At 44.4% G+C, this 22,304-nt stretch overlaps 1 protein-coding gene across 12 annotated transcripts in view; it reads left to right on the plus strand.

The window, feature by feature from the left end:
* Nucleotides 1–22,304, plus strand: part of TDRD9 (tudor domain containing 9) — a 124,212-nt gene that overhangs the window by 101,121 nt on the left and 787 nt on the right. For 6 of the 12 annotated variants that reach the window (NM_153046.3, XM_011536397.3, XM_011536400.3 and 3 more), the window contains 7 exons: nucleotides 1,532–1,687; nucleotides 2,441–2,511; nucleotides 4,384–4,493; nucleotides 5,384–5,480; nucleotides 10,620–10,758; nucleotides 12,493–12,611; nucleotides 20,032–20,104. In NM_153046.3, the coding sequence (NP_694591.2) occupies nucleotides 1,532–1,687; nucleotides 2,441–2,511; nucleotides 4,384–4,493; nucleotides 5,384–5,480; nucleotides 10,620–10,758; nucleotides 12,493–12,611; nucleotides 20,032–20,104 (765 nt within the window). Of the gene's footprint in view, nucleotides 1–1,531; nucleotides 1,688–2,440; nucleotides 2,512–4,383; nucleotides 4,494–5,383; nucleotides 5,481–10,619; nucleotides 10,759–12,492; nucleotides 12,612–20,031; nucleotides 20,105–20,288; nucleotides 20,362–22,304 lie in introns of all 12 variants that reach the window. The other 6 variants (XM_005267309.5, XM_047430910.1, XM_047430909.1 and 3 more) reach the window with 2 other exon arrangements.

The following is a 22,304-nucleotide window of genomic DNA, read 5'->3' on the forward strand; positions in this document are numbered from 1 at the left end:
AGTCTTTAGGTTTTTCTATATATAAGATCATGTTATCTGCAAAGAGGGACATTTTGACTTTCTCTTTTCTAATTTGGATGCCCTTTCTTTCTTCCTCTTGCCTAATTTCTCTGGCTAGGACTTCCAGTACTGTGTTGAATATAAATGGTAAAATTGGGCATCCTTGTGTTGTTCTTGTTCTTAGAGGAAAAGATGGCAGTTTTCCCCTCTTCAGTATGGTGTTTGCTGTGGGTTTGTCATGTATGGCCTTTCTTGCGTTGAGATATGTTCCTTCTATACCCAATTTGCTGAGAATTTTTTTATCTTAAAGTAATGCTGAATTTTATCAAGTGCTTTTTCTGCATCTGTTGAGATGATCAGAGAGGCCACTTTTGAAGCTCATGTTGAAGGTCTTTTACTTCTGTTATTTCTGCTGGGGATGAAGAATACTGGGTATCAGGAAGGGACAGTCTAGCAAAATGTTAGCCAGAGTGCTGGCTAAATTCTGTATTTAATTTATATAAAAACACTTCAGGGAATTATGTTAATATTTCCAGTGTAAAACCAAAATTTTACATACAAAAAAGTCCTGTAAAAATGTTTCTTTCTTGCAAACGATAGTAAGAGAAGAAAAAAGAAAATTAAAAAAACTGTAGACCAGGTGCAGTGGCTCACATCTGTAATCCCAGCATTTTGGGAGGCCCAGGTGGGCAGATCACCTGAGGTCAGGAGTTCGAGACCAGCCTGACCAACACGGTGAAATCCCATCTCTACTAAAAATACAAAATTAGCTGGGCATGGTGGTGGGCACCTGTAATCATACTACTCAGGAGGCTGAGGCAGGAGAATTGCTTGAACCTGGGAGGTGGAGGTTGTAGTGAGCTGAGATTGCGCCATTGCACTCCAGCCTGGGCGACAAGAGTGAGACTCCGTCTCAAAGCAAACGAACAAACAAAAACCCCAAAAAACTGTAAAAAATGTTTATTTCTCTTAAATTCTCTAATGGGTAAAATGTTGCAAAGGCTGTCGGATTTCTTTTGTTTGAAGAAATAAGATTGTAAATCCTGTCATATTTCTTTTGTTTGAATCTTAAAATGAACTTGATAAAATTATTTCCCTATACTTTAATCAATGACTTCCAAAATCATCATTCTCAGTAAACTATCGCAAGGACAAAAAACCAAACACCGCATGTTCTCACTCATAGGTGGGAATTGAACAATGAGAACGCATGGACACAGGAAGGGGAACATCACACACTGGGGACTGTTGTGGGGTGAGGGGAGAGGGGAGGGATAGCATCAGGAGATATACCTAATGCTAAATGACGAGTTAATGGGTGCAGCACACCAGCATGGCACATGTATACATATGTAACTAACCTGCACATTGTGCACATGTACCCTAAAACTTAAAGTGTAATAATAATAAAATAAAAATTAATGACATAGAAATCAGAGTAACACTGTGCCTATGAAATATTTTGATTAGTTTGGAAGAAAGTCCTTGTAATATTTTCTTTTAACAAAACAAACTTTTCTTGTTTGTTCAGCAAAGCCATGAAGTTCTCAAGGGCCTCTTTTCCAAGTCAGTAGAAAACATGACAGATGGCTCTGTGCCCTTTCCCATGAAAGACGACGAGAAATATCTCATCCGGATTTTGTTAGAGAGCTTTTCTACCAATAAACTGGGTACTCCAAACTGTAAGGTGATTGTAGGAGTTTTAAAATGTAATTTAAAAGCTTAGTATCATTTTACATTTATGTGCTAGGAGTTGTAGTCAGTAGTCATGGTGGTTTTTTCTTTTCTGGCTTTTAATGCTGTTACTTTTCTCACAATTGATCCTCTTATAATAATAAGAAAAAACCCTGGGGTTTAGTGTTTAGTGGGGTTTAGAGAGAAGCTTTGACTAGTTTTTTTTTTTTTTTTTTTTTTTTAAACCCTCCTGACGTGTGCTTTTTTTGTCGGACTAAAGGAAGCACAGCGTGTGGGTTCAGAGAACTGGTGCCAGCCTTGGACTCCCTGGCTGGCTGTTAGAGCCGGTGCTGCCCGCCTGCTTGGAGAGGAGGGCTGGCCAGGGTGTCTCCTTGTTCAGGGACTCCACTTGTGTTTCCCCAGCCTCTGGTTGTGTGGTCTCAGGTCTACCTGTGCAACTGGGTTGGTCTGCTGCAATTGAAATAATAGTATTTTCACTAAATTGTCAATGATTCCTTTTTTGTTGTCCAAAGGCTTTCTTAACCATATATATCAAGGAATGTTAGTGAAATTGTTGAAGAGAATGAGTTACATCCCAGAAAAATACCTTCTTTAAGGCACTTTTTCTTAACTGAATCATAAAGACATTATGAATGAGATGTCTTTTTTTTTTCCTTTAAAGAATGAGCTGACTTTTGAGTTTTAAAAATTCATGTTAAGTGTTATCTTGCTTATTGGTAACACTTCCTATATTTTGTGCACGCAGGCAGAACTTCACGGGCCTTTTAACCCTTATGAACTAAAGTGCCATAGTTTGACCAGAATATCCAAATTCAGGTATGATTAACTTAAGTTTTCCATGAATTTTTTTTCTCTGCTTTTCTGTTTATAGATCTCATCAGAAAATAATGTATCTTTATATCTAAACTGTTGGAATGTGTTATCTTTTCTTTTCTTTTCTTTTCTTTTTTTTTGAGACAGAGTCTCATTCTGTCATTCAGGCTGGAGTGCAGTGGCGCAATCTTGGCTCACTGCAACCTCCGCCTCCCAGATTCAAGCAATTCTCCTGCCTCAGCCTCCTGAGTAGCTGGGATTACAGGCACGTGCCACCACACCTGGCTAATTTTTGTATTTTTAGTACAGACGGGGTTTCACCACGTTGGTCAGGCTGGTCTCAAACTCCTGACCCTGTGATCCACCTGCCTCGGCCTCCCAAAGTGCTGGGATTACAGGCGTGAGCCACCATGCCCGGCCGGAATGTTATCTTTTCTAACTTCTCATTTCTCTCCCAGCTCCTGATTTGAGGTAGTCTCTCTCTCACACACGTGAAAGCCATTCTATGTAAGACATTTTTGAGTATCTTTTATCAAAGACTACATTTTTTTCTGTTCTTGTTACAATTGTTATTCAGCAAAGCTGTGAGAGCCCACTGTATGCCAGGAGCAGTGTGTGGTTTGGGGCAAACTGTAGTGAACAAGAAACAGTTGTTTGTCTTCATGAAAATTATGGATGCAGTTGGCGGGTGGGGGGCATAGAGGAAGCCGGTAACTACAATATAGGGTGATAGGGCTCTTGATAAGGGCACAGAACATCATGAAAGCATCTAGGGGGCCCAGCCACCCTTGAAAGATCATGGAGCTTTTCCAGAGAAATCTGAGGCCTGGCGGATACAGAGGCGTCAGCCAAGGTGCAGGTGTTGGAGGAAGAGAGGGGAGGTGGGATGAGGGTGGCTCCACTGGCAAGTGCATAGGCCTGAGTTTGAGAGTTTGCACGTGTAACTCGAGTAAGTTTAGTAAGATTGGAGAATTGGGTGGGGGGAAGGGAGGTGCCAAGCTTGTGGTAGACGAGGGCAAACTTTGTAGACTTCATTCTGAAAGGGCCGTGAACCTTACTATGTGCATTTTAAAATGATGCCTTTGGGTAAGTCTTGTCTTCTCAAAATGTCTTCCGGGGAGCACATTGGAAATGCAGATGCCCAGGTCCCCTAGGGCCTTCCAAATGAGCCTGCATTTTCACAAGGCCTCTGGCGATCTGCCTGTGCTTACAGTCTCAGGAGCCCCAGTGTGAAGCCGGCATTGGATTTCAGAGTAGAAAGATCCTCAGGCAGTATTGTGCTTCTGAGGCTGGTCCCTGCTGTAACCCAGGGTGGGAATATGGGAAACTGAGTCCCTGGCAGGAGATACAGAAACAGCTTCACCAGCACTTTCACCTGCTGGAAGCAGCAGGATGGAGCTGCATTAGAGTCAGTGCTGAAGGGAAGAGGAAGAATTAAGGGTGCCCTTGCTGGGGCTGCAGCAGGCTTCTGCTGAGGGGTGACAGAGGAACTGTGGGGTGGACCACACTCAGTTCCCTCTGCCAGGATGCAGGTGATGGCCCTTATGAGTTGACAGTGCAGGACAGAGGGTCTCGAGTGGAGGTGGAGGTTCGGGCATCCCCAGCGTGTGCGTGGTTCCTAAGCCAAGGAGTGGTCGGGATCATGCACGAGGGAGTGGAGAGAGAAGAGGGCTGAGGACCAGCTTGAGGACTCCTGTGTGAAGAGGTGGTCCAGTAAAAGGAGATGTGCAGGAGAGTGGGGGGTTAAATATTTCTTCCCGTCTATCATTGCAGTTGCCCGTTTGTATTTTTGAAATGGGTTGCTTGTGGGTTGGCATAGCACATTGCCTGGTTAGTGGATCAGTCACCCCATCTCCTGGTGCTCCTGCCTTTTAGGTGTGTTTGGATTGAGAAGGAGAGCATCAACTCTGTCATTATCAGTGACGCCCCTGAAGACCTTCACCAGAGAATGCTGGTTGCAGCTTCCCTTTCCATCAATGCGACTGGTAATTTAAAGATCCTGTTTATTCCTTGTCCTCTCTTTTTTCTTTTCCTTGACTTCAGCTACTAGGAACAACTTATCCTATAATTGGTGAACAAGTCTACACTATGTACTATTCTTTTTTTTTCTTTTTTTTTTTTTTTGAGACAGAGTCTTGCTCTGTCGCCCAGGCTAGAGTGCAGTGGCGCGATCTCGGCTCACTGCAAGCTCCACCTCCTGGGTTCACACCATTCTCCTGCCTCAGCCTCCCGAGTAGCTGGGACTACAAGCACCTGCCACCATGCCTGGCTAATTTTTTGTATTTTTAGTAGAGATGGGGTTTCACTGTGTTAGCCAGGATAGTCTTGATCTCCTGACCTCGTGATCCACCCGCCTTGGCCTCCCAAAGTACTGGGATTACAGGCGTGAGCCACCGCGCCCAGCTTACGTGCTGTTCTTTTAGGCCATTTTCTGACTGCTTTGGCTGGTGCGAGGTTACGCGGTGGAGCATTCTCACTTTTCCTTTTATACAAGGATGTGGGAAGTATTAATAATTGACTCCTGGATCTTTCATTCATTCCACCCTGCTTGGCTACAGAGTAGAATACATCCAAGCTCTTGGCCCTGGGAAAAATCCAATAGCCTGATTAGGGGAAAGAGATGCAAAGAGTAACCAAATAGGAGTTATCCCCAAGTGGGGTAAAAGCTTACGCATCATAGCGTAGTGTCTCTCTGTAGGGTACTGTGGAAACAGAGAACAGGGAGTGTGCGTTACTATTGGGGTGGGCCTGTGGGGACTGGACAGACTCAGCAGAGGAGGGGATACCTGCAGATGAGTAGGAGCGGGCCGGGAGGGAACGCTGCCCTGAGCAGCGTGAGTTAATGCCCGATGTTGATTTAGCATGACTTGAACAGGATCTACGATGCTGCTGAGAGAAACCTCTCTGATGCCTCATATCCCTGGCCTCCCGGCTCTCCTCAGCATGTTATTCGCACCGGTGATAGAGTTAAGGTACGGGCATCCCTCTTGTCTATAGGCTTTGTAAAATAAGAACCTGGGCGGGAAAAAACGGGTGCCTCTCCTTGCTCCTTTTGGAAAGAAAGCCTTTATGGAAGCTAGCCATGGCACGTCTCGCTGCTTGGGGTGAAGCCTGTATTGTTATTGATTTATTTATGCTTGGGCTGATTTTGAAAGAAGCTCAGAAAGCTTGTAAAGGTACACACTGTGTCACATAGGAGCTTGAGGCAAAAAAGGGGTAAAATAAATTAAAAATGGAGCTAGGAATGAGGCTCAAAATAAATGTCATGGTGATGGACATCCCATTGTTAATGGGTGGTGAATGTGATTCCAAGTTTTCTGGTGACCAGTTGTCGACAAGAACCCGTCAGTCCCCCTTCTTGTGGTAACCATGACATCAGAAGGCAGATTGCCCAGCAGATTGTAGCTCTTGTTAATGCCACGATTAAGCCAGGATTTCTCCCAGAGACTTTGATAGAGAGGAGTGTGTGATGCCATGAGCAGAGCTCTTAAAGGCACCCTCACAGTGGGGGCTGCTGCCGTGTAAGGTTTTGTTTGCAGACTAGGGATTGACAGAGCATTCTCTGTGGGGAAAGCACTAACATAGGTTTTAGTGGAGCAGTGGGTGGGGGTGGCTAGAAAAGGAGTAATATTTGGGCTTTAGGAACTCACATTCTGCTGGGCAGGATGGAAATGGCCATGACGAGATTGCAGTAGAGGCCTGGTAGCACTTCAAGAGTCGGGGGCATGGAAAGTTACCCTTTTCTTCTTTTCTAGTCAGCTGGTGAGCATGGAGGGGTGGTCCATAGACCTAGAGGGCTAAGTTCAGTCAAGGCAGGTGGAAGGGCCCCACCGTTTACTCAGTCCTTTTTGCCATTACACTTGTTCAGAATCTGACAGTGCAATCTCAAAATGTGTAGTGCTTTTTTTTTTAGTTGTAAGAATATTTTTTTCATTAAAATATGTGCTACTTAGAAAAAGCTGAATGGGAAAAATTAACACATTTTTAAATTTATAGATTTAAATTTAAATAGTATACTTATTTTAAATTTGTATATACATATTTTTATTTAAGATTCTTGTTATACTGTATTCTTTTCCCACAAATACCAGGTTTTTCATATTATGATATCTTTGTAAATATCCATTTTGATAATTGTATCATATATCACTGAATGGGCATATGATGGCTTACAAAAATACCGCCCTGTTTTAATTATACATGCACTTGTTTCTGAGCGGCTCTTGTCTGAAAGGATTGAATATGCCTTTAATTGTTGAAATGTGACCTAATTTTGCAATGATGATGCAGTAAATCCCTCTGTAAGTTCAGGCGTCTTGGAGCCTCGGTGGGGAGACAGATGTGCAGGAACCACACGTGGCAGTGGGATGATCTCATGAGCAAATAGCACGCTGTGCACCTGCAGGCCTGAGGCTTGGCTAGTGCAGAAGCAGGTCCCTTCCTCTCATGGCACTTTGGACGCCCTGCTTGCCTTTTTAACTAGACAAAGCTCCTGCTTCACCTCTTTTAAACACCAGCTTTTGAGGATTTGAATGATATAGTGTGTTATTTTCACAACTCCAGAGTGCAAGCGTTTAGGTTGTAGACATTCAAGAAATACTGACATACTTGGTATTTAAAACACCATCTTTCTAGAAAAAGCACAAGCTTAATAGGAAAAGGTTATATATAACAATACACAGTGCTTTGCTGATTATATTCATTTTGTTGAATTAACTGAAATGTGCCAGATTTGGGACGGTTTATGTGACAGTGTGCGTAAGACTAGTTGTCTTTGAATCCACAGGCTTAACTAGGTGATTATCGGAAAGGTAGCAGGGGGGCCTGGTTGATTTTCCTCCAAACTCTGCCTGCCTCTGAGTAGTTGTATAAGCTTGGTTTTGTTGTTGTTTTTTATTTTGTTGTTGTTTTTTGAGACAGGGTCTCACTCTGTCTCTAAGGTTGGAGTTTTTTTTTTTTAATTTGTTGAGTGAGTAACAACTGTTTTTGAGAAACTTTGAAAGATGACAGCTGTTTGATTTGGGATGAGCATTCTCCTTTCCTTTCACTTTAAATATGCAGTCTTCTGCAGCGAGCAGGAGGGGGGTCTTCAGTACAGAACTGGCCCAGGGGTCCCAGCACTGTGTCTTAGGTGTGTTCCGGAGGGGAGCTGTCCTCCAAAGCCCACAGCTCCTGCGAGCCGCTGCCCCGCCATGCGCCCATGCCCGTTTGCTTCCTTTTGTGAGCCACCTCTCTAATGCGCACCCGCATGGGACTCGTCTCCTGTTCGGGTGGCGTCTGGCTGCTGCACTAGAGGCTGTCCTGGCCCCCCTTGTTAAACGCGAAGCTTGCAGTCTCTGGGTAAAGTCTGTTCTCCCTCCACATGTGTCACTGTCCTGTCACAACTGATTCAACTTTACGACTAAGTGATAATTTTTTACCACCTCTAACATACTCTTTGTACAATAGTGGCAGGAAAGGAAGATGAGCAGAAAACTTAATTTTATCTTGATTTTCAATTTAAAAAGGGGAAGGAGATATGTGTTATGCCCCATTCATAAGCAGAGACATCTAAGTGGAGGCCACTGTCCCCTTCTTTGCCAACTGGCTGTGGACTGACCTAGCTGCCATTTGTCTCCTCTCCTTTGTTCTTTCTGCCATGTGACCTTCACTTGTAGTTGGCCCCTCCATAACTCAGGGTGACTGAGCCTTGGTGCCAGCTTTCCTCTTCCCTTCATCGTGGAGCTGATCCACCACACATCTGTCCCCGGAGTGCGTCACTCCTCTTGCTGCCCCTGTCCTCGAGGTGTTTTCCCTGAACAGTTGGAGTAGTTGATGGTGTCAGCCTGGATTCAGTGGCATCATCATTGTGTACCTTGTGGAGCCCGCCTCCCTGGGTGAGCAGAATGCTCCATGGTAGCAGAGCCTGGCACCTCCAGGATGGGAGCAGACATCTGAGAACACGCTCTTATTGGTGTAGTGACAAGAACACTGTACTCACCTCCTTCCCTTGGTTCTTGGAGCCAGGTTTTGCTACTGGGGAGACTGCCAAATGCTGGCCATGGTTTAGAGGCTAAGTCACGTGTTGAGGGCAGTGCTGTAACCCTGGGAAGATGGTGCTTCTGAACAGGCATGAGAGGGTGGGGGGATCTTTAAACAACAACAACAAGAAGTTCTATCAATTAAAACCTAAAAATTAATATCTACACTTATATGTACCCACAAAAATTAAACAAACAAAAAATTGAATGAGGGTGGATTAAAAGAAGACTCTCACTGTTTAACTGGGTTTTCTGGCTACTGTGGCTAAAAACAAGCTACCCCAAAACTTCAGTGGGCTACAGCAACCTTCTTTGCCTCTGTGGGTGAGGAACTATGTCAGGGTACACAGGGATGGCTTGTTGTGTTCCCAATGTTGGGGCCTCCAGCTGAAGGATTTGGAGGCTGGTGGGTGTCCAGGCTCACATCTGGTGGTTGCTGCTTGCCAGAGACCTCAGTTGCTCTCAGTGAGGACTTCCACAAGTGATCTGTCTGTAGGCTAGTTTGGGTGTCCTCAGCATGGTGGGTTGGTGCTGAGGGTCCTGAGAATGAGCCAGGTGGCAGCTGTCCCTGTTTTTTTGTTTGTTTTTTTGAGTTGGAGTCTCACTCTGTCACCCAGCCTGGAGTGCAGTGGTGCCATCTCAGCTCACTGCAACCTCTGCCTCCAAGTGATCCTCCCACTTCTGCCTCCCAGGTAGCTGAGATTACAGGTGTGCACCACCACACCTGGCTAATTTTTGTATTTTTAGTAGAGAAGGGGTTTCGCCCTGTTGGCCAGGCTTGTCTCAAACTCTTGGCCTCAAGTGATCTGCCCACTTCAGCCTCCCAAAGTGCTGGGATTACAGGCGTGAGCCACCGTGCCCAGTATATTAGTTCATTCTCACACTGCTAATAAAGACATACCCGAGACTGGGTAAATTATAAAGGAAAGAGGTTTAATTGACTCACAGTTCTGCACGACTAGGGAGGCTTCAGGAAACTTACAGTCATGGTGGAAGGGAAAGCAAACACGTTCTTCTTCACATGGTGGCAGCAAGGAGAAGTGCCGAGCAAAAGGGGGAAAAGAAAAGCCCCTTACGAAACCATGAGATTTCATGAGAATTCACTCACCATCACGAGAACAGCATGAGGTTAACCACCCTCATGATTAACTGCCTTCCAGAGGGTCCCTCCCATGACACGTGGGGATTATTTAGGATGAGATTTGGGTGGAGACACAAAGCTTAACCATATCACCTGGCCTGTGTCACCTTTTGTAATCTAGCTGCAGAAGCCACACAGCGTGAGTTTTACTGTAGTCACAGTCACAGCTAGACCACTGTGGCTTCTAGGTCCCACTGTAATTCACAGTGTGGTTGGAAACTACTGAGACGCCTTAGGCAAGGGAGTAACATTGTATTTGTTTTGAAAAGCTACTCCTGTGTGCTATATGGAGAAAAGATTGGAAGAGGCAGGAGTAAGAGATGGGGAATTGGTCGGAAAGTTGTTACCAAGTCCAGGTGAGAAATGGCAGTGGCTTGGACCAGGCTGTTGGCCGCAGCCATGGAGAGGCTATTAGGGAGTGATAAAGGTGACAGGACGTGCCAGTGGTCAGAGGAGGGTGGTGATAAAACTGGGATACAAAACTTTGTAAGTGTGCACCATTGTTTTAGGATGAGAAGGTGGAACATTTTTTTAGGCTTTTACTAAGTGCTAGACTTGTTTGACAGGTCATAAATATGTACATAGCCCTTTCTCCAGAAATCTCCCTAATAAGAATTTAACCCATGGAAAGAATTCGAAGGCAAGGGAAAAAAAAACCCATTCATGATAAAATATTCTTTTCATTATCTTATCTACCACATTAGAAACTTAATAAAGTATTAATACAAATTATTAAGTATTAATAAAAATACTGAATTTACTATTCTTATAACTATATTTTATAACTATATTTTGATTGTGAAAACTGGCAGAAAAATGCACAAGTGAAATTAATTGCTGTACTAGGGCTGGCAGAATTTAGGATAATTTTATCGGTCAATTTTTACATGCTAAAACATATACTTTAACAATTCTGAAATAATGGACTCTTCTGAAAACATTCCATTTAGGATTGATCAGAATGGCAAGTACTATACTGGAGTCCTTTGTGGTTTGGGGTGGAATCCAGCTACAGGGGCTTCCATACTGCCCGAGCACGACATGGAGCTTGCGTTTGACGTTCAATTCAGCGTGGAGGATGTCGTCGAGGTAAGGGTAGTGCAGCATCACGGCACCACAACCCTGTCTCTCTCTGGTTTTGCTTACCTGACAGTGAGTGCAGGGTCTGCTGTGGAGCTCGCGGTGCAGACACACACCTCTGGTCCTGGAGATGTGCACGTTCCTTGTCCCTCCTGGAGTCACCCTCCAGGAGGACCGCTCCTTAACTTGCCAGTTTGATGTATCTTTCCTGTGAAAAGTAACTTCCTGATGGTGCTCTCTGAGTCTCTCATTTGGTGTCTCCTGGCATAAGCTTTTCTGGGCAATCAGCTAAACCACGGGGCTGTAGGGCTGCTGTGGGTCTCATTCCAAGTCAGGAAGTGGAACATCCTTGCTAGTTCTTACTGGGAAAGGAGGACACAAGGTCCTGCCCCTCTGCCCTTCTCCCGGCCTGGTGACCATGCTGAGCAGAGGGCTGGGTCAGCGTGAGTGCAGAGCTGAGCTGCTTGCAGCATTGTCTGGGCACCGCACTAGCTCTGGGGTGAGGTGGCAAGGCAGACAGGGAAACTGTGTAGCAAGTACACAAAGTATTTGTATGTCATTTGAATCTAATAATAGAAATGTGGGCTCGTATTTGTGTACATTAAAAAAGATCTTTCATCGTTATAGTAATTTATTTTTATTGCATTTTACAAAGTGGGAAGACCAAAACTGATCCTTTACCACAAATAGTTTGAGAAATGCTACTTTCTAAGTACTCAGTCGCCTTTCTTTCTTAGAAGTTCCATGAGACGGGTGAGGTTAACATAACCACACTGAAGGGCCGGGGGAAAGGAGGAGCTGCAGAGACAGCTGCCGATGCTCCGGGGGCAGGTATCAGTGTTGTCTCTGCAACTGTTAAGTCATAATTGCCTGGTCACAAGAAGGGGCTTATGGGCTTGAAAATACTCCTTAAGCCATAGACCTAATGGGAAAATGTAAAACTATTAAAGTGCTACAAGCAAATTCAGGAAATCTGTGTGACTTTGGGTGTGGCATGAGTTTATAAATACAACACCCAAAGCACAATCTGTGAAGGGGAAATTGATACGTTTGAATTTATCAAAATTAAAAACTTTTGTTCCGCAAAAGACCCTCTTCAGAGGAAGAAAAGACAAAGTGCACACCAGGAGAAAATAGTTACAGGTTACATATCTGATGAAGGACTTGTATCCACAATATGTAAGGCACTCTTAAAACTCAATTATAAGAAAACAAGCAACAGAATTAAAATACGGATGACAGTAAACCCATGAAAAGATGCTCAGCATCATATGTCATTAGGAAAATGCAAATTGAGACTTCCATGAGATAGCACCACCTACTTACTGGAATGGCTGAAATCCAAAACCTGACAGTAACCAGCAATGGCAAGGAGGTGGTGCAGGGGGACCGGGGACCTTTTGTTCATTGCTGGTGGGAATGCAGATTAGTACCACTATTTTAGAAGACAGTTTCATATGAAGTTAAGCCTGCATCTACCATATGACCCAGGAATCCCATCTGTAGGTATTTATTCAAGAGATTTGAAAACTAGCATCCACATAGAGCTTGTATGTGAATATCAATTGCAGCTTGAGTCATAATTGCTAAAAACTGGGAGCAGTCAAGATGCCTTCAGCAGGCGAGTGGATAAACCATACTGATGACAGAGAATACTAACTCTGAATGCTATGAATTCTCTAACGGGATGAAATTCAGTTACGACGGAGCCTTATGAGTGTTTATGTTGCTGTTCATTTACAGGTTAATATTCTCAGGGCTGCTATTAACAAGCTAGTCTGTGATGGACCAAATGGATGCAAGTGTCTTGGGCCAGAGAGAGTTGCGCAGCTTCAAGACATTGCCCGTCAGAAGCTTTTAGGGTAAGCTGTGTGATGACGCGGGCTTCTTTTCTTCCCAGTCAACTTTCTCAGCTGCCTTGATCATGGCTGTTTTGAATTGTGTAGGCAATGTGACATATTGATCACCTGAAGTGGAGTGCCAGTGCTGGAGGCAGCACTGGGAGGCATCAGAATGTAGGCACGCCCTTCCTGTGGAGAGCAGCACCCTTGTCCTGTGTGTGTGTGTCCCTTGAAGGGACAGCGTGGGCAGGGCATGGGAAGCCACAGTGGGTAATGTGTCACCCACCATTCCTAGTGGTGGGTGTCTTAGGGATTGGGGGAGTCCGGCTTGTAGGATTGGGCCTTACAGAGCTGGGCCTCTCTTGAACCTCTCTGCAGGGGAGGTTGGAGAAGGAGCATTCTGACCTGACTTCCCTGTTTCTCACCTCCTGCTGGACTCTCCATGGGACAAACCAAACCAGAATGCAGACACAAAAGGCTCCTGTTGGTGTAGCCCATGAGCCCAAGGCAGCTTGAGGGCCCCGGGAAGGCCAAGAAGAGTGGGAGTGGTCATGGAGGAGAAACCAGCATTCCACCTACCCAGTCCTGTGCTCCTGCCCCAGAGCCAGTCTCCCTGGGAAGGGCCCGGTCCTTCCTTGCCTGACAGTGTCCTGTGCTGGCTGGGACCTGGACCTCTGTGAAAGCAGGTGGCATCTGGTATCACGGTGACACTTCTCTCCTTCCTATGCCTTTTGGGTTGGTTTCTTTTAGTTTAATAAGCATTTTTTAAAAAGCTATATATAGCTGTCTTAGAAATGGTGAGAAAGGCCAGTTTTAGTTTTCTCTCTTCATTTTCTTTTATATAAAAATATTTTTAATATTTATTTATTTATTTTTAGAGACAGAGTCTCACCCTCTTGCTCAAGCTGAGTGCAGTGGTGCGAGCATGGTTCACTGCAGCTCCAACTCCTTGGCACACATGATCTTCCCACCTCAGCCTCCCTAGTAGCAGGGGCTACAGGTGTGCACCACCACACCTGGCTAATTTTTAAATTTTTTACATAGATGAGGTCTTGCTATGTTGCCCAAGCTGGTAATTTTTTTTTTTTTTTTGAGAATGGAGTCTTGCTCTGTCACCCAGGCTGGAGTGCGATGGCACGATTGCAGCTCACTGCAACCTCCACCTCCCGGGTTCAAGCGATTCTCCTGCCTCAGCATCCAAGTAGCTGGGATTACAGGCACCCACCACCATGCCCAGCTAATTTTTATATTTTTAGTAGAGACAGGATTTCACCATGTTGGTCAGGTGAACTCCTGACCTCAGGCGATCCACCCGCTTCAGCCTCCCAAAGTGCTGGGATTACAGGTGTGAGCCACCATGCCTGGCCAGTAAAAATATTTTTATGTAAAATGTGGGTTGAAGTTTAAGTACACAGGTATATGCCCATGTGGCCAGCACCGAGGTCAGAGCCCCGGTGCTCCTTAGGGTGTGCGGGTGTGGTTGTAGCCACCATCACTCCCTGCCCCCAAAACAAGGGTAACTGTATCCTGCCTTATTATGCCATAGGTAGTAGGTATTGGTTTGTTTGTTTTAACAATTCAATAACTCTAGTGAATTTATAGTTGTGCAGTCTGTCAACACAACCTAGCTCTTCAGCATTTCTGTCATCCAGAGAAGTTTACTCATAAGTATTGTCGGGAAAGGCAGTCTCATGCAGGCAGCCTTTGATCCCCTCTCTGCTGTCTGAGAACAGGCCTTGGGCCTGAAACGCTTCCTTCCCATAAGATTAAGGGTCCTCACAGCCTGTGGGGGGCTCGTCGCCATGTGTGGGAAGATCTTTCCTTGATTCCGGCTCTGCCCTGCTTAAGCCTGTGTGTCATACGGTACCTGGTCAATCCCACCACTGCAGGGATGGGACAGGGCTCTCCTGCTGCCACATAAGAGAGGGGCCTGCAGGCCTGCCTTGTCTTCCGGGAGGTACCCGCTGGCCACAGGGACCGCTGCCAGTCACTAGAGCTGATCCTGTCCTGTTGCCTCCCTCTGTAAGTAAAGGTTCGTTCCAGCCAGGGTCTGACTGTGTGTTTTCCTTGGCGACTCCAAGACAAGATGCAGGGGTGCCCTGACTTCTCCTGGCAGCAGGCAGCAGATGCCACCTGCTTGACTAATATATTAAAACAGAATGTGTCATTGTTTGTACAACCCCATAAATTTACTAAAACTAATCAATTATGTTCCTAAAGTTGATGACTTTTAGGATATGTAAAGTACACCTCAGTAAAGCTGTGTTGAGGATCGAAAGTTCCCCCTGTCCATTTACACGCAGTCTTGTTCCCACCCCAGCCCAGGTACCACTGATCTGCTTTCTGTTTATATATTTGCCTTCTCTGACATTTTTATATATGTGGAATCACATTTTAATTTTAAAATCTGGCTTCTTTCACTTAGCTTAGTACTTTTGAGGTTTATCCATACTGTATCATGTTCCTTTTTACTAAATAATATTTCATTGTTTGTTATGCCACTTTTTTAATCCATTCACCAGTTGATAAAATATTTGGATTATTTCCAGTATTTGGCCATTATGAAGAAAGCTGCTATGAATAGTCACATACAGTCTTTTTGTGAACATGTATTTTTCTCTCGGGAAGATATCTATGAGTGGAGTTGGTAGGTTGTATTGGTAGGTTTATGTTAATCTTTTAAGAAAAGGCCAGGGCCAGACGTATTGGCTTACGCCTGTAATCCCAGCACTTCGGGAGGCTGAGGTGGGCAGATCACCTGAGGTCAGGAGTTCCAGACCAGCCTGGCCAACATGGTAAAACCCTGTCTCTACTAAAAACACAAAAATTAGTAGGGCATGGTGACACACGCCTGTAATCCCAGCTACTTGAGAGGCTGAGGCAGGAGAATTGCTTGAACCCAGGAGGCGGAGGTTGCAGTGAGCCAAGATCACGCCATTGCACTCCAGCCTGGGTGACAACAGCGAAACTCTATCAGGAAAAAAAAAAAAAAGGAAATAGCCAAACTGTTTTCCAAAATAGCTGTACAATGTTACATTTCTACCAGCAACATAGGCTGGCTCTGGCTTCTCCACATTCTCACCAGCACGAGGCACCGGCACGTGTTGTTACTGCAGTCAGTCTGGTGAGTATGGTAGTATCTCATTGTAGCATTAATTTTCGTTTCCTTAATGACTAATGATGTAGAGCAACTTTTTATATTCCTCTTAGCCAGTCATTTATCCTTTTTTTTTTTTTTTTGGTGAAATGTCTGTTCAGATCTTTTGCCCATTTTTAAATTTGTCTTTTCATTATTGAGTTGTAGAAATTGTTTTTAAATTTTAGATACACGTCTTTTATTGGTTAAGTAATTTGCGATTAGTTTCACCATTGTGTAGCTTGTCTTCTTATTTTAATGATGTCTTCCAAAGAACACAAATTTTTAATTTTGATGAAATCTACTTGCTGTGGTTTGAATGTGATATGTTTGAAACCTAATACCCAATGCAACAGTGTTGGAAGGCTGGGCATAATAAGGGGTTGACTGGACTCATGTCATCATTGTGAGAGAGGGTTAGTTATCAAGAGAGTATGGATTGTTGTAAAGTGGGTCTGCCCCGGTGCCTCTTCCTGTCTCAAGTACTCACTTGCCCCTCTGCCATGTCATGATGCAGCAAGAAGGCCCTGGCCAGGTGCTAGAGCCATGCTCCCGCACTTCCCAGCTCCAGAACTGTGAGAAATCAAGTTCTTATCTTTGTAAGTGACCCACTCTCTGGTCTTCAGTTATAACAGGGGAAAATGGACTAAGACACTACTTTATCTTTTTTTTGAGACGGAGTCTTGCTCTGTCGCCCAGGCTGGAGTACAGTGGTGCAGTCTCGACTCACTGCAGCCTCCACCTCCTGGGTTCAAGCGATTCTCCTGCCTCAGCCTCCCGAGTAGCTGGGATTACAGGCACACGCCACCAAGCCCAGCTGATTTTTGTATTTTTAGTAGAGATGGGGTTTCACCATGTTGGCCAGAATGATCTCGATCTCTTGACGTCGTGATCTGCCCGCCTCAGCCTCTCAAAGTGCTGGGATTACAGGGGTGAGCCACCGCGCCTGGCCTACTTTATCTTTTTAAAAAATGAATTATGTTTTCGGTGCTATATCTTAAAAAATCCTTGTTAAACTGAAGGTCACAATCATTTTCTCTCTTTTTGTAATTTTTTATGTTTAGGTTTTTGATCCATTTTGAGATGATTTTGTATGTGGTATGTGATACAAGAGCCTAAAGTCATTTTTTGCATATGAACATCTAGTGGTGATGACATCATTTACTGAAAAGCTATACTTTTACCATTGAATTGCCTTGGTACCTTGGTCAAAAATGAATTGGCCATAAATGTAAAGATTTATTACTGGGTTTTCTGTTTTGTTCAATTACTTTATATCTATCTTTGTACCAGTGCTATACTGTCTTAATTGCTGTAGCATTAGTCCTCCTGTTTTATTCTTTTTCTTTTTCTTTTTTTTTGAGACAGAGTCTTGCTCTGTTGCCCAGGCTGGAGTGCAGTGGCGTGATCTCGGCTCACTGCAAGCTCCGCCCCCCGGGTTCATGCCATTCTCCTGCCTCAGCCTCCTGAGTAGCTGGGACTACAGGTGCCCGCCACCACACCTGGCTAATTTTTTTGTATTTTTAGTAGAGACGGGGTTTCACTGTGTTCGCCAGGATGGTCTCGATCTCCTGACTTTGTGATCCGCCCACCTCGGCCTCCCAAAGTGCTGGGATTACAGGCGTGAGCCACCGCACCTGGCCTGCTCTTTTTCAAAATTATTTTTACTCTTTTATATTCTTTTCCTTTCCATGCAAATTTTTGGATCAGCTTGTCAGTTTGTATAAAAATCCTTGTTGGAATTGTGGTAGGGATTGTGTGGAACCTGTGAGTCAGTTTGGGGAGAATTGCCATCCTAACAGTAGTGAGCCATCCAGTCCATGAAGATGGAGTGTCTGTTCATTTGGGTATTCTCTAATTTCTCTTAATACTGTTTTAGAATTTTCAGTGTGCAGGTCTTGCACTTTAGTTGTTTCTAAATATTTTAGTTCTTTTAATGCTATTGTGAATAAAATTGTTTTCTTAATTTTGTTTTTGAATTTTTTTTAGAAAGGAACAGTTGATTTTTATATATTGGTCTTTTATCCTGTGACCTTGTTAAACTTCTGTATTCTAGTAGTTGTTTGTAGATTCCTTAGGATTTCCTACATACAAGATCATTATTATTATGAAAGCTTTCTTTCTCTAGTAATGCTTCTTGTTTTAAGGCCTATTTTGTCTGATATTAATATAGCTACCCCAGCTCTCTTTAGCTACCATTTGTGAGCTTTTTCTATCCTTTTACTTACAGTATATTTGCAGTTTTGAATTTTTTCAAATATTTTTTTCTGCCTCGTGCCCGCTCTCTTCTCCCCTAGGGAGACATTGCTTTGCACGTCTGTCAGTGCGCTGGTGTTAAACGCGTGCTGACACGGTCGATACGGCCTCACTGGTCTTTGAGGCTCTGGTCACTCTTCTTCAGTCTCTTTCCTTTTTGTGCTTCAGATTGGTTAATTTCTGTTGATCTGTCCTAAGGTTACTGATCCTTTATTATTTCATCTCAGGTCGACGTGGATGCGGTACAGAGAATTTTCCATTTCAGTCATTGTACTTTTCAGCTCTAGGATTTCTGTTGTTTCTTTGGTAGTTTTTAATTTTTATTGAGATTATCCCTGATTCATTGTTATCCTATTTTTAAAAAACTTCTTGGCACCTGTTCACAGTGGCTGCCTTGAGGTCTTTGAGTGCTGAACCCACAGCTGGCCACACACTCAGCCTCTACTGGCTGCTCTTCTGTGTGTGGGCCACACATTCCTGTGTCTTTGATGTCTCCTAATTTTTTTGTTGGAAATTGGGTACTTTAGATAATGTACTGGAGCAGTTCCCCCAGAGCTGCTGTTTTTGGGTTTTGTGGTTTTGTTTGTTTCACTTTAGAAAAGTGCCTAGTCTTAACCTGTAAGTCCATCCCCTGTGATGTGAGGTCACTGATGTCTGGGTTCTGCTGTTTTGTTATGTTTTTAATTTTAATTTTTATAGAAACAAGGTCTCACTTTGTTGCCTAAGCTGGAGTGCAGTGATGTGATCATAGCTCACTGCAGCCTTGAACTCCTGGGCTCTGGCGATCCTCCTGCCTCAGTCTCCCAAGTAGGTAGGGCTACAGGCATATGTGACCACGCCCAGCTCGTTTTGTTTTCTTTATTCTTATTTTTATTTTTTAGCCTGGCTTCCTAGGTGTTGTCCTTGTATCTGATCTGCACAGCTTAGTGCTTAGCCAGTGATCAATCAAAAGTTGTCTTTAAATACTGCCCTGAAGGCTTCTGCCCTTTGCCATTGGAGCTAAGTATGGGTTGAAAAGTGCACTCCAAGTTCAGGCACTTTTTGATTCTTCCCTGGCCTCTATTTTTCTCAGGGCTTCCCAGGTTTTTCCCACGTGTGTGCACCCCTCCATCAGTCAGGGATGTGTGGAGGGCCTGCTCCCCCTCTGTGGCACTCTCCTTTCCAGAGTCTCCCTTTTACCTCCTGAATAGTCTGGTCTGCTGCTGGCCCCAAGCAGGATGTGGCGTGAGGCTGGAAAGCTATGGGCTTTCCCCATCTGTTTCCTTCATTGCTGTTTTTACTGACAATGCTCCAAGTCAAGGTGTGAGGATTTTTCCCCCTCTGATCCAGATCACATAGCCTTTATGGCCCTGGGAGTGCTGTGGTGCTGGGTTCAGGGGCAGGTGTATGGGGTGGGAGCGGCTCCCTACCCCAGCAAGAACTCCACATACTCCACTGTTCTCACCTGGAGCTGGCAGTTTGTCATGAATGAATGCTTCTCAACTTGTTGTTTGCCTTTGCCTTTGGTTAATTTCCAGAGCCTTCAAATGGTTGTTGTTGGTATGTATGTATGTATGTATGTATGTGTGTGTGTGTGTGTGTGTGTGTGTATGTATGTATGTATGTATACAGTTTTGCCTTGTTTTATAGTTTTTTAGTGGGGAGAGGCTCTGCAGAACTCTTTACTCCCTCATTGTTCAAATTCCCTATCTTTTTAAGCTGATGATATTTCCAACTTGTCATGATTGCTTGAGAGCTAATGGTACAAAATGTCCTGTTACATTTCAGAGAACTTGACTCATTCATGTGGTGTGCAGTGCTGGTTGCTAAGGGAACATAGAGACAAGACTAGGTCTTACAGATCTGTCACACTCCATTTCTTTCTGCTTTTGAATATGCCATAGATTAAAATATTTTCTGATCATAACTGCATAAATGTTGACCTTTAAACAGTTTATTCTAGTTCCAATTCTGTGGGAAGCATATAGGATTTAAATCTTTAAAAAAATCACAGCAGTGTTTTCAGTTACTAATATATAATTAAGATAATTTCTTTTTTTTTTAAATTAGTTTGTTCTGTCAGTCAAAACCAAGGGAGAAGATTGTTCCCAAGTGGCATGAAAAGCCCTACGAGTGGAATCAGGTGAGTGGGACGCAGGCTGCTACATGAGCAGAGGCCACGTGGAGGAGGGGACAGGCCCTGGGCAGACCCAGGGTTCAGAGCCAGGGCTGGCCGAGGGTCTGAGAGGCAGAGACAGGAGGCAAAGTGGATGGCTTTGGGGGCCAGCTGGCAAATGTCTCAGACCAGACAGGCTGTTTCTGCACAGTGTCTTCTATGTGATGTCCCGGCAAAGAGTCAGACACCAGGATAACTCACTGCCTGTGAGTTGGGAAAAAAAGGTATGAGGGTCTGGATTGAACCTTCCTGCTCTTGTTGGTCTTTGTGAAATGCACCTTGGCTGTTCCTTCCATGTGGCTGGCTTGGTGGCTTTCGGGCTGTACTGGTTGTTGTCTTTGTCTGCTTGAGCTGCTGTCACAGTGCCACCACGGGTAGGGGCTTAGGAACAGCAGACATTTGTTCTCACAGCTCTGGAGGCTGGAAGTCCTAGGGAAGGTGCCAGTTTGTGGGTCCTTGTGAGGACCTCTGAGGGACATCTGCAGATGGCCACCTTCTCACTGTGCCCTCACGTGAAAGAGAGACGTCCTCTCTTAGGGCACAAATCCCATCCTTGGGGTCCCACCCTTGTGACCTCATCTAACCCTTATCACCTCCCAGAGGCCCCATCTCCAAATAACATCACAGTGGGGGTTCGGGCTTCAGTGAAGGAATTTTCAGGGGCCACAGTTGAGTCATGAAGAAGGACAAAGCCCTTCATAGGCTCCCTGGTACTTCCTGTCTGTAGGGCTAGAAATGGAATAAAATGTGATTTCAGAGAAAGGAGCCCAAAGGAGTTTGGAGATTTAATTCCAGAGCCAGGGATATCTCTAGATACAAAGCAGCAGGGGCAGTCTTCCCCTCCCCTTTGACGATCTAAGTGAGGCTCTGCCTTGGAGGACTGTGTCCCATCCTGCGCCTCAAGGTTGCTCCTGCTGTGAGGCTCGCCTGCTCCCCCTGTGCCCTGTGCCTAGGTCCCTCTTTAGAGACCCCAAGGCTGATCCTGGCAGCCGGCCCCATTGTGTGCAGAGCTCCATGGGCAAGGAGAGGGGCGGCCACACCAGCCCCCATGGCCATCAGGCTCGGTTGGAGTGTCTGAGGGTGACGAACTAGCAGGACTTTGTTTGAAAACAGAATTTCACTTTGAGGTTAGTATGTTTTAGAAAATTTCAGTGTCTTCAAGACCTGTAATGCAATTACCATCCACATTTACATAGGCATGCATGGGAGATTTCTCAGTAAAGCTTGCCATAGTATTAATCATGAATTTATTTATTTGCAGCTTTTATTTTAGATTCAAGGGGTACATGTGCAGCTTTTGTTACTTGGGTAGGTGGCATAATGCTGAGGTTTGAGGTACAATTAATCCCATCACCCAGGTACTAAGCATAGTACCCAATAGGTAGCTTTTCAATCCTTGCCTCCCTCCCCCATCTAGTGGTCCCCGGTGTTTCTTGTTCCCATCTTATGTCCATGAGTACTCAATGTTTAGCTCCACTTTTAGGTGAGAACAGGCAGTATTTGGTTTTCTGTTCCAGCATCAATTCGCTTAAGGTAATGGCCTCCAGCTGCATCCCGATTGCACAATTTCATTCTTTTTAATGGCTGTGTAGTATTCCATGGTATGTGTGTACCACATCTTCTCTATCCAGTCCACTGTTGATGGCCACCTGGGTTGATTCCATGTCTTTGCTATTGTGAATAGTGCTGTGGTGAATATGTAAATGCATGTGTCTTTTTGGTAGAACAATTTGTTTTCTTTTGGACATATACTCAAGTAATGGAATTGCTGGATCAAATGGTAGTTCCGTTTTAAGACCTTTGAGAAATCTCCAAACTGCTTTCCACAGTGGCTGAACTAAGTTGTATTCCCACCAATGGTGTATAAGCATTCTCTTTTCTCTGCAGCCTTGCCAACATCTGTTGTTTTTTTGACTTTTTAATAATAGCTATTCTGACTGGTGTGAGATGGTATTTTGTGGTTTTGATTTGCACTTCTCTGATGATTACTGATGTGTGGAGCATTTTTAAATGTTTTTGGCCCTTCAGTGTCTTCTTTTGAGAAGCGTTCATGTCTTTTGTCCATCTTTAATGGGGTTATTTAAACATGAAATTAAAAATGAATTATCAAACCTATAGTATGAAGTGTGAGAGTAGAGAAGTGTTCTGTAAATATTTTTGGAGAACT

The sequence above is a fragment of the Homo sapiens genome, chromosome 14, assembly GCF_000001405.40.
Source record: "Homo sapiens chromosome 14, GRCh38.p14 Primary Assembly".
Lineage (NCBI taxonomy): Eukaryota > Metazoa > Chordata > Mammalia > Primates > Hominidae > Homo > Homo sapiens.